Raw genomic sequence first — 12511 nt, forward strand, 5'->3', positions numbered from 1 at the left:
ACTAGCCACTTAAAGGAAAATTCTTGAAAAACAATCCACTTAACAACCAGCTGTAGTCATGATATCTTTTCTGTTTCTTTGTCCCTTGGAGACACCTTAACCTTTTCCATGATGTCAGAAACAAAGGATTATGATTTTAAAAGTGGAAGAACCAGCTGGAGAGAATGAAGTTGTGTAAGTAAGATGACAGATCCTGAGGCTGACTATAAAGACAAAGACAAGCATATGGCAGCCCAGGGTGCTGATTCGAGGGCTCGCAAGTACATCTTCCTACAGTCTCACTGGGGCCATGTGGGATGTTTCTACAGCCCTGCCTTTCGTGGCTCTCAATGAACTGTTTTAGCGCGTTGCTTGGTGTCAACACTCTTCTCCCTGGCGACATATTCTTGGGAGTCTGCTTGGCTATATTTAGGCTTTAGATTCAATGAAGATTTGGCTGTGTCTGTCATCTTTGGGGTAAGTGAGTCATCGCCCCCTCTTTCAGCTGGGGAGGGAAACAGCTCTGGTTACCCTGCAGAGCCCTCCCAGCTCCAAAGTGTCAGAGGTCAGATGTGGAATCAAGGGTGTCTGTCCCCAAGTCAGTGTTTTAACTCAATTCCCTGTAGGGCTGCTCTGGAGAGACATGGAAAAGCTGAAGCACTGACATTTGGAACTAGCATCCGGCACTGCAGTCAGGGTGGCAGGCCCTCAAGAAACACTCAACTCGGGATGCTCTGGCTTCCTCCGCTGAACTCTCCCACCGACGAGCTTCAGATCTTCCCGTCTACTGACTGCATGCACAGCCAGGGCCCTGCAAGCTCATCTCTGCTTCCTACCAAGTTCCTATTAAAGGCCAGTCTTGAAGGACAGGAGGCACCAGGCAAAATCAAACCACAAATGCCACAAACTCTGCCCTACGTGGAGACACTCCTCAGATTCTTTTTTCTTTTTTTAAAGTTTAGAGACAGGGTCTCTCTCTGTTGCCCAGGCTGGACTGCAGTGGCACGACCACAGCTCGCTACAGCCTTGAATTTCTGGGCTCGAGCAATTCTCCCACCTCAGCCTCCCGAGTAGCTGGGACTACAGGTGTGTGCCACCATGCCCGGCTAATTTAAATTTTTTTTTTTTTTTTTTTTTTGTAGAGATAGGGGTCTCACTACACTACGTTGTTGCCCAAACTGGTCTCGAAATCCTGGCCAAAAGTGATCCTCTCACCTTGGCCTCCCAGAGTGCTGGGATTACAGGTGTGAGTCACCGTGCCTGGAACTTCCCAACGATTCAGACAGGACTCAAGTGCTTCCAGCAGAAGGTTTAAGAAACAAAATAAATAAAGCTGCAGAGGACGGCTTATATTACTTTTCTTCTAACTTTATTTTTTCACTTGGAAAATAGACATGATTTCTGCTTTTCATTGGCGTTGACTGATTTTCACTAAATTTAGTGGATGGCACTTTATGTTTATTTATAGGGCAGTCTGGCATCTTAAAAATCAATAGGAGTGGTAAAAACTTTTAAATGAATCTATGTTCTGTGATTGTGCTGTACAAAACGCTAGTGGCATGAATGTTAACAAAAGTACAAACTCTGTTTTCTCCACTAATGAAACACAAGTGACTCCAAACATCAATTAACTAAAAACACTATTTCTGTTTGACATTATAGCACATTATATATGCAAGCGGGCAGCAGAGCTTAGGAATGAAGAGCGTAGGCCTTGAAGTCAGCATGATCTGAATGTGGCTCCAATACGGGCTTGGGGAAGTTATTGAACCAAAGAGGTTACATTTCCCTACCTGTAAATGGGGAGAGCAGCAGTCCCTGCCTCAGAGGGTTGCTGTAAGGATAGATTAAAAAGTCGTACAATGTGAATTGCAGAGCATGCTAGAAGCAGGCAGCCTTTTCTAGGCTGCTTAGGCAAATGGCTACAATGCTTTTGTGTTCTCTGAGTGAAGTAAAGCACAGAGTTTAGGAAGAGATGCCCCACAGAAATCAGCCAGGGAGGATTTTGCTAAGAAAAATGCACATGCATATAATTCTGATCATTGTATTATAATAACTACTACTGATATACTGACTCAGAGAAAAACTTGTTATGCTATTAGAATCTCTCGTTTTTTCAGAATCCTAATGCCTGGATTTCAGCTTCAACATTTCTATTCTTTAATCTTTACAAATGAGGTCATGTAGAGAAAAGGAAATGCTTATATACTGTTGCTGGGAATGTAAATTAGTACAGCCTCTATGGAAAACAGTATGGAGGTTCCCTAAAGAACTACAAATAGAGCTACCATTCAATCCAGCAATCCCACTACTGGGCAACTAGCCAAAGGAAAATAAATCATCATTTAAAAAAGATACCTGCAAGCGAATGTTTATCACAGCACTATTCACAATAGTAAAGATATGGAATCAGCGTAAGCGTCCATCAATGGATGACTGGATAAAGAAGTTGTGGTATATCTACACAATGAAATATTATTCAGCTATAAAAAAGAATGGAATCATGTCTTTTGCAACATGGATGAACAGGAGGCCACTATTTTAAGTGAAACGACACTGAAACAGAAAATCAAATACCACATGTTCTCACTTATAAGTGGGTACACTCTGTGTACCCAGGGACACAGAGTGTGGAATAACAGACACTGAAGACTTGGAAGGGTGGGAGGGGAATAAGGGATGACAAATACTTACTGGGTATGATGTATATGATTTGGGTGACGGTTACACTGTAAGTCCAGACTTACACTATGCAATATATCTATGTATCAAAATTGCACTTGTAGCCCCTACATTTATATTATAATAAATTTTATAATCATAAATATTTCCGTATATGTTTTATAATATATATAAATTTATATATATAGAAAAGCTAACATTGCTTCTCTAGCTTATGTCAAGTTGCCTTGATATATATATTTATATACATACACATGCACAAAATCAAGTTGCCTTGATTTCTGTCCCAGCTACTTGGGAGGCTGAGGCAGGAGAATGGCGTGAACCTGGGAGGCGGAGCTTGCAGTGAGCCAAGATGGCGCCACTGCACTCCAGCCTAGGCCACAAAGCGAGACTCCGTCTCAAAAACAAACAAACAAACAAAAATCGATTTCATATATATGTGTGTGTGTGTGTGTATATATATATATATATATATATATATATATATATATATATGAAATGAAGGCAACTTGACATAAGCTAGAGAAGCAAGGTTAGCTAAATAGGTTGAAGTTTTAGGTGGGGCAAGATACCCCATGATTCTCTGGGTTGTCAAAGCATGGTTTATGTATCTGACCTTTGGAAACAGGGATGCTTTTATCAGGAACACTGCTTCTCCCAGGATCTTCCTGTGTGCTGTGATAACATCCCATTCACTCACCCGTCTGTCCACCCAGTCATGGAGTACCTACCGTGTCAGGTATTGTGTGTGGTAGACGCTAAAGCATAACATTAGAGTTCTGTAAATATTAAGAATAATTTGGTGCTCACTGCACGATAAAATGACAAGATAAATTAAAGACTAGAGTTAAATTCTGAAGTTTTTCGTCATTTGTGGGTGAGGTGTGCATGGGGGTGGGCATGTGCATAATGCTTAATTTAATAAGCAATCCAAAGACAGAGAGCACAGAGTTGCAGCTCTGCAAAGCACACCTCCACCACTGCTATTTATTTAATGAATACTCCTGGGCGCTCTTTAAATTGAAAGATGGTTCATTAGATTTGTGCATCTGCCCTTCTCAGCAATCTGTTGTGTTTCTGATGAAGGCAGGAAAAAACACGAACATATCATTTTCGGGTATGTTATGAGTAACGCCGCTTCCAATGATTACAAAGTCATAAAGGGCTCAGGCTGCCTAATTTCAGGAAAACAATTTGTCTGAATCATTCTCTTTCCATTCCTATCTCATTCTAATCTCACTCATCTTGGAAATTTCAAGTACTAGCCCTTTAAAGGAAAAATACTAATCACCCAATACATTATCTGCAAGCCATAAAAATAAGGACGTTTTTAAGGTATCAAAAAAAGTCCTTTCAAAAATGGCCAAAAAATTCACCCTTCTTTTTTTTTTTCCAATCAAGTTAACCACTACCTCTTGTGGGCCCTGATCCTACATTATCCATCTATCTAGTGTAATCTGTCCTGTGGGCTGGTTATTGTAGTGGGGTGTGTGTGTGTGTGCATGTGTATGTATAAATTCTTGGAAGGCAAAAAAAATCTTTAAAAAAATCTTTTGTTTCTGTCTCAGTACGTGCTATACAGAAGATGCTAATAAAAGTGCTGAACCAGGCCGGGTGTGGTGGCTCACACCTGTAATCCCAGCACTTTGGGAGGCAGAGGCAGGCGGATCACTTGAGGCCAGGAGTTCAACCAGCCTGGCCAACATGGCAAAACCCTGTCTCTACTAAAAATACAAAAAATTAGCCAGGAGTGGTGGCGCATGCCTGGAATCCCAGCTACTCGGGAGGCTGAGGTGGGAGGATGTCTTGAATCTGGGAGGCAGAGGTTGCAGTGAGCTGAGATCGTGCCACTGCACTCCAGCCTGGGCGAGAGTTGAGACCCTGTCTCAAAAAAAAAAAAAAAAAAGTGCTGAATTAAATAACTGAAGGTAGGTTTCCCTATACAGGCCTTTAAACTATTAAAATATAGACTCACTCATCTGCCAGCCCCTAGCAAACACCTATTTAAGGCCTACTAGGTTTGGGCACCATGCAGGACCCATGAATAAAGACAAGGACACAAACACAAATACAAAAATGTCCCTGCCCTCATGGAGCTTATGCTCAGTGAGGTAAGGCAGGCACTGTCCCCATCACCGCTCATGAACGGCCGAGAGTGACAATCCTATGGAAATGCCCTCTGAAGGGGGCACAGATTCTCATACAGTGCCTTGAACAGAAACAGCTGTATTCTTGAGATTCTGAAAGTTTCTTTCACTCTCTTATGGAGACAGCTAATACACACACACACACACACAAATTAATGTTATATATAGTCAATTTCTCTATGAAATCACATTTTGAGCAAGGAAACCTTGGCCATTTCTTGGTTCATCATACACTACCTCAAAGGGTTGGCTTGGGCTCCTGCTGAGTGGAGGGAGGTAACTTAAATCTTCGAGGCTGAGTAGCCTTGGTCCCTTCCTCCCATCTCCTATGTAATTTCACAAATAGTAATAAAAGGTAGGGCTAGAATTCAGTGTTTATTTCAAGTAGGTTGGAAACTCAAGTGGTCAAGATGGTGGGGAAGATGTATAAGACTAAAACGTAGTTTTGTTACGTCAACCTAGGAAAAATACATGAATTGTAAGAGGCTTTGGGTTAAGAGGTGCTCTGTACGGAATGCTGACTGACTCAGTCATAGTCAAAGTGTGGCATTAAGCACTGCTGATGTTGTGCTCATCTGTGCTGAGTAGCACAGAGGATGAAGCAGTCCTTGCCTTCAAGATGCTGAACAACATACACTAATAAGTACTTAAAAGACAGTGATATAATTGCCAGAGAGGTAAGAAGAAGATCAAACAGCAGCCCACAGGAGGCAGTGACCAACTCTGCTTCTCCAAGTAGCTGATTTATGGATGATGAAGAGAGAATCACTCATTCAACATGCATCTGACTGCCTACGTTGTACTGTAAATGCTAGGATGTTGTTATTGGAAGTGTATAAATAGACATATAAATATATATACTCCAGCATCCCAATGTAGTTATGACTGGCCATCCAAAAAGCAAAAATCCAGTTTCCGCAGATCCTGCTGCCCCAAAAGATAGGTGTGGCATATACTGATTCCCTGGAAGATGCAGCAACAAAACTTCCCACTTCCTTCCTAACAGACGACGACAACGGTGACAAAATACTACCCTCACTGATGCCGCATCACTTTAATGCTGCCATGACAAAGAAAACCACAAAGCCCCAGGCAGCTTTGAAAAGGATGGAAAATCCCTAAGCAGATCTTGACAGTGTCAGGTTCTCTACCGGCCCCGTCAGACGCAGCCTCAAGCCTCAAAGGACTGATACTTTTAGTCAGAGTTTTTAGTGTTTCATGTGGAATAAATGTTTTCTTCTGAAATTGGCAAAACAACTGGCTGGCTTTTGAGAACGCAACATCCTGCCAGCCCTGTCATGGCTCGATACCGCTAGACATCCAGAAACCCTATACATTGATTTTCTTTTGTCCTTCAGACACATGGGAAAAACTCATCCATAACATTTGGACAGTCTTCAAGAAGTCTCCACAGCTGCTGTGGTCAGGCGTTCATTTCTACACAGAAGAAATGACTAACACAAGATTGCGTTTCATCTTCTGGTTGTATGAAGAGCATTTACCATAAAGGGTAGTGAGCAAAGGTTACTACATCTTATTCTTCTCAGTAGCATCTATAGTACAACCCAAGAAACACGCCCACCCCACTCAGAGCCCATGGCAGCCTGTGTGTGGCGGGGCCTCTGAAGGGCACTGCCCCATCTGCTGAGCCGGGATCCTCTTGGCATCCGATCGATACCTACCAGCAAAGTGAAGCTGTGTTCCAGCAGCATCCCATACTGTTGGACAAGCTTCTCTCGGGTCACACTGGGGAGCTCCGGGAGTGTCTCCCGAATCTGGTCAATATTGATCACTTGCTGTGGGTCTGCACCTGCGGGCAGAGATGTGGCGTCGTAGAGCACCAGGGGAGGCAGGTTGGGTTCTGGCATGAACCTGGGCAGACAGAGGAGACGGGACCTGAATCTGGAGTACTTGGATTAATGAGAAAACAAAACCTCCCCCAGTAATATGAATGTTTCTGTGTTTAGATGCCATGTTACTTGCAAATATTTTCAAATGTCCTATTACGTCAATTCTGTTTCCCAGGGAAGCCATTGCATAAGTGTCAAAACCTCCAAACCCACCCCTCTCCATGCTTATAAATAAGATGAGTGAAAGAAGCACAACACAGGCTTGAAGTCACACTGGGATTTGTAACTGTGGATCATTCATTCCACTGTTCATCAGGAATTGTGCCCACAGTTGTGTGTTGCTTCACAACGGCGATATGTTCGTAGAGATGTGTCGTTAGGTGATTTCGTCATGGGACCATCACAGAGTGCACTCACATGAGCCTGGATGGTACAGCCTACTACAGATAGGCCATGTGGAGTAGCCTACTGCTCCAAGGCTACTGAGTGTCCCAAATCCTGCAGGCAACTGTAACACAATGGCATTGGTGTATCTAAGCATGTCTGAACAAGAAAGGGACGGTAAAAATGCCATATGACAATCTTATGGGACTCCTGTAGCATACGTAATCCACTGTTGACAGAAACATCCATATGTATGCAGGACTATGTCTTCATAAAGACACAGGCTGGAAAAAACAGGACCAAATGAGAGCAATTTGCTTATTAGAAGGAAAGATGACTTTCCCCCCATTTCAACATTTCTACTATTTTTAGCAGCATTTACATAAATAAAAAATGAAAGGAAAAAAATTTACCCTTGAGAAATAGAAGAAATGAATAGATTTTGCCTAAACAAAATGTGACAGCTGGAGAAGAGGGAGGGAGGGATGAAGAGGTGGAGCACAGGGCATGCAGTGGAACTTCTCAGTGTGACACGATGGTGGATGCATGTCATTGTGCATATGTCAAAACCCACGCAATGTACCACACAAACAAGGAACCCTAGTGTAAACCATGGACTCTAGCCAATAAGGAAGTGTGATTGGTTTCATCATTGTAACAAATGAGCATCTTGCATTACTGTGGCACATTAACAGGAGACTCTGGGGGGAGAGTGGGGAGCGGGAGTATGTGAGAACTCTGGACGTTCCATTCAATTTTATTGTAAAGCTAAAACTGCTCTAAAAAATGAAGGGAATTAATTTTTTTAAGTGTCAAAGCTGCACCATTGCATGTAATCTTATGAAACAAGATGTCCCTCCCTCTGTTCTCGTCCAGCACTAATGGTTACTCTCTGCCCATTTTTGTCAAAGGGCTTATGTAGAAAAAGCAGGGTATTCAGAAGAAGTGGTGGTTTGGAGGGAATGGATTCGAAGCACACGCTACCCATCGGCTCACTGCCAGATCTCTTCTGTGAGTTAGTCTGGCTTCTGAGGGCAAGAGGAAACCCAGGGGAAGCTTCCTGCAGCTCACTATCATTTGAGGCATCATGCTGAAGCCACGGGCGGATGGAAAGCCGGACTCCACACTCAGGGGAAGGCGCACCAACAGGGGAGGGAGCAACACTCAGGAATAAAGTGGGCCCCTGGGAGAACAGACTCACCCGGGAAGTTCACGGTTAATTAAAATAATTTTGACTCTAGCAGACAGACAATGGGAGTTCTTGGGGTGAGGTTCATGCTAAGCGTTTATGAGTTTCTTCTTTCCCACATAAACATGCAAATTTTGATCCTCATTGATAATAGCTACATTTGCATCTTTCTGCCCTTCACAAAGGAAAGGTGGCCGATCTCACAACTTTGTTGCTTAAAACTTCAACCTGCTAAACTCAATGAGAAAAAAATAAAAGTTTCAATTATCTTATGCCTGTTCTTAGCATTTGCTTTATTTGTGGGTCTCATATTAAGTAGTTCAACTTAATTTATCATGAAATAGCATCATATGAGGTTCAAGGGAACTACCATCAACATACGCTATCAACATCTCTTTTCTCATTTCTTCTCAAGGAGCTTCATTCAGCGTATTACTGAATCAGTTACTGAACATTAGAATAAGAACAGCCTAGGCCCCAACCTCTACAGCCATCCTCCTAGCTCAACTATGACAACTTTGACACAGCAGTGGATGAACAAGTTCTTCCAAAAGCTGAATCAGTCAAACAAGGCACCAGATCTGAGGCTACCAAATCAAGAAACTAGTACTTCTCTCGGTATGCATATCAAAGAGGAAGTCTAGATGTCCCATCATGTTACAACAATGACAAAAAGTGGTTTCTAAAAATTGTTCAGGATCATTATGTTGAACTTTAAATGAACTTGAAATACGCCCCAGCCCCCGATATATAGCGGTATTTTGCCATAAGGAGTAACCACCTGTAGTCCTGTTTTCCTTCTTTGTCTCTCATTGACATGGTGCACCTGCAATAGTTAAATAAGAAAACATTAAACATTGAAAGCAGCACTGGCCAGCCTATATGTGGGGAAGGGCTCCCCTACCAATAAGGGGCACAGGCAAAATCAAACTCTGTGGACTTCCATGGGGAAACCTTAAATGAATACATTCAAAAAACAATCATAAAGAAAGCGAAATGTACAGAATGATCTTTTTTTTTTTTTTTTAAAGGAAATGACTTCAATGTAGCCATCTTTCAGCCAGCTCAAACTCGGCTTTTGAGCTTTTTTCAGTATTCTGCTTTAAGTATACAATGCTCAAAATTCTGAGTGAGAAAATTAAGGCCCAAGTTATCTAAACAAAAATAAGGCATCTCTACAACCAGGTCTTCACTCTGTTCCGCCTCTAGCTTCAGCTGGGAAAGATCTGATAGATTAAGGAAGTAAAAATTCTTGCCACAAGGCAGGTAAGCTGGAAGCAGAGAAGGAAAGGGCCTAAAACGAAGCCCTTGGGCACAGTCTGGGTCACTTCAAGCCTCCTGGCAGCCCTAGGGTATATTATATCCCTATAGGGTACAGTACTTTTCTTTTTTTTTTTTCTTTGAGACGGAGTCTTGCTCTGTCGCCCAGGCTGGAGTGCAGTGGCACTATCTCGGCTCACTGCAAGCTCCGCCTCCTGGGTTTACGCCATTCTCCTGCCTCAGCCTCCCGAGTAGCTGGCACTACAGGCGCCCGCCACCACACCTGGCTAATTTTTTGTATTTTTAGTAGAGACGGGGTTTCACCATGTTAGCCAGGATGGTCTCGATCTCCTGACCTCGTGATCCGCCCGCCTCGGCCTCCCAAAGTGCTGGGATTACAGGCGTGAGCCACGGCGCCTGGCCTTCTTTTTTGTTTTTGAGAGGAGTCTCGCTCTGTCGCCCAGGCTGGAGTGCGGTGGCAACATCTCAGCTCACTGCAAGCGCCGCCTCCCGGGTTCATGCCATTCTCCTGCCTCAGCCTCCCAAATAGCTGGGACTACAGGCACCCATCACCATGCCCGGCTAATTTTTTGTATTTTTTTAGTAGAGACAGGATTTCACCATGTTAGCCAGGATGGTCTCGATCTCCCGACCTCGTGATCTGCCCATTGCCTCCCAAAGTGCTGGGATTACAGGCATGAAGGGTACAGTACTTTTCTAATTGTACTAATGAGGAAACCTAAAAGTGGAGACGCTACGTGCCTCCTTCAAGGTCACATGGCTGGTCAGTGGCTGAGCCCAGCCCTCTCGCACCACCCCCGGCTGTGGTCAGGACGCTCAGCAATGCGAACTCACCCCAGCTTGTGATGAAATGAGCGTGTTTCGTTCAGAATTTCACCTCCATTCTCAAGTTCATTGATTTGCCTCTGAATTTCATAGTCTAGGAAAAACACACTAATTTAGCATCATATTTTGATTATACCTTTCATCCAGTCAAGCAATAATTAGAAACAACCTTTCTCAATCTCTAAGTTAAAAAAAAAAAAAATCAAGAAGATTGTTTATAATAATCCTTCCCTTACACACTATATTTCCTTCTCACTGCCATCGTAGAATATTGGTGTTGGAAAGGGCCTTAGGAAGGCAGGCTCACTCCGTGTTGAGACAATTCAGGTTCAGAGAGATTAAGCAACCCCATGCAGATGACATGACTTGGCAGAAGTGGGGCTGGGCCCAATATCTCGGTCTGAGATTGCTGCCTACCCAGGGCCCTTACCCTGGGAGTCTGGGATGGGCTTCAAAGGCTCTGGTATCCCCAAAATTATACACAAAGTGTGGGTTGTGTGCATATGTGCAGGTTTTGGAGAGAGGGTCCAGCATTTACATTATCTTTTCAGAGGGACCCACGACCCCAAATGATTAAGATCCAAGGACCCATGCCTCAGCATCAAATGAGGGAGGCTGTGGGAATCAAAACACAACCACAATTGCTAAGCTGTTGCTGCTTTTTTTTTCTTTTTTTGAGAGATGGGGGTCTCACTATGTTTTCCAGCCTAGTCTCAATCTCTTGGTCTCAAACAATCCTCCTGCCTTGGCCTCCCAAAGTGCTGGGATTACAGGCATGAGCCACTAAGCCCAGCCTGCTAAACTGCTTTATGAAAATATCTTGAGCCTCCACCTTAACTCTCCCTCCCACCATGTACTACCTTCCCTTGCCCAAACCTAAACCCTTTTATCTGAGTTGCTAAGAGGCAGCAACAGCAAAACGTGTCAGTTTTTGCTCCCCATCTCTCCCCAACTCCAGTGATCTCTTTGGTTGACACGAGATGATGGCTAAATGGCCTGACATAGGGAGAAAAAGGTGGTGAAAAATCACAGGCTTGGAGAATTGAACCCATAGTAAAGCTTTGGCTCTTCCACTCTGAGTCAGACCACAGGGAGATTTCTCCCTCAGACTGGTCCTCCAAAGAGTTCTTCATAGGACAGGAGAAGGTTAGGGGTCTCCTTCAGAACTCATGGATGACTCTACCTAAAATTGGGCTGCTTTTTTAAGGTTACCATCACCACCTCTTAAAATAACGGGTCCCAGCCCACTACCTACAGGGGGAGGTGGAACTTCCTCCATTTGTTCCAGGCTTCCTCCTCACCAACTTGGCTTATAAGGGTTTTCCCTGACTCAAACCTTTCATGGCTTTGGGAACATGGGCTATGTCCCTTTCCGGATGCAGAACAGTTCACCATCTTTAGTCTGCCTTCATATAGGAGCCTATCCCTTCCCTCTCTGCTCCCATAAGCTATCCGTTTGACCACTTTAATGCCTTTTTCCTGAAGACTGTCTTCATTGAGTGGTTGATTCACTTCAGGTTCAGGACAATAAGGTCTAATACAAGACTAGAATCATCTTTTCTGTACTGTTTCTAATACTTTTCTTGACAAGACCAGGGCTCTATTAAACATTTTGGCTACAGCAAAACTTTGGCAACAGATTCAGTTGTCTTGGTCTCTGTGCACCCTTGAAGGGGTGCACTTCAAACTCCATCCCTCCCTCTTCCTCTCTAGATAGCTTCGGTTTTAAAAAATCTTTTTAGTCCTCTGAGGTCCTCCCCTTGAATTCACAGTTACCTATATCTACGGGACTGCTCAGATATTTATCTTGCTAAACTATTTTAGTTATTATACATTTATCATCAAAGAAATACCCACAGTGTGTGCTCCAGAAAGACTACTACTTCACTGCATGGGCACATAATCTAGCAGTTAAAAAGAATATAAAAAGCAGGAAAACATAATGACCATTTAGGTCAAGCCATGGTCAATCTAAAATGAACAACCATGACCTAGTAAATCTCAAGCTGGTCAGAAAGAAGGTGGTAAATGGTAAAACACAGCCATGATCTTTTGTGGATCCTCTGATAAAGAGGTGGAGTCTAATTTCCCCTCAAGTCTGCTTTGAATTCAATGTAATTTTCTTTTTTTTTCTTAGAGACAGAGTCTTGCTCTGTCGCCCAGGCTAGAGT

At 43.3% G+C, this 12511-nt stretch overlaps 1 protein-coding gene across 2 annotated transcripts in view; it reads right to left on the reverse strand.

Annotated features, from left to right (window-relative positions):
• The window catches only part of GATB (glutamyl-tRNA amidotransferase subunit B), a 90504-nt gene that overhangs the window by 24332 nt on the left and 53661 nt on the right, over window positions 1–12511 (reverse strand). For both annotated transcript variants that reach the window (NM_001363341.2, NM_004564.3), the window contains exons 7-9: window positions 10350–10434; window positions 9016–9060; window positions 6494–6683 (exon numbers count right to left, since the gene is read on the reverse strand). In NM_001363341.2, coding sequence (NP_001350270.1) covers window positions 6494–6683; window positions 9016–9060; window positions 10350–10434 — 320 coding nt within the window. The remainder of the gene's footprint in view (window positions 1–6493; window positions 6684–9015; window positions 9061–10349; window positions 10435–12511) is intronic.

This window comes from Homo sapiens, chromosome 4 (genome assembly GCF_000001405.40).
Source record: "Homo sapiens chromosome 4, GRCh38.p14 Primary Assembly".
NCBI lineage: Eukaryota > Metazoa > Chordata > Mammalia > Primates > Hominidae > Homo > Homo sapiens.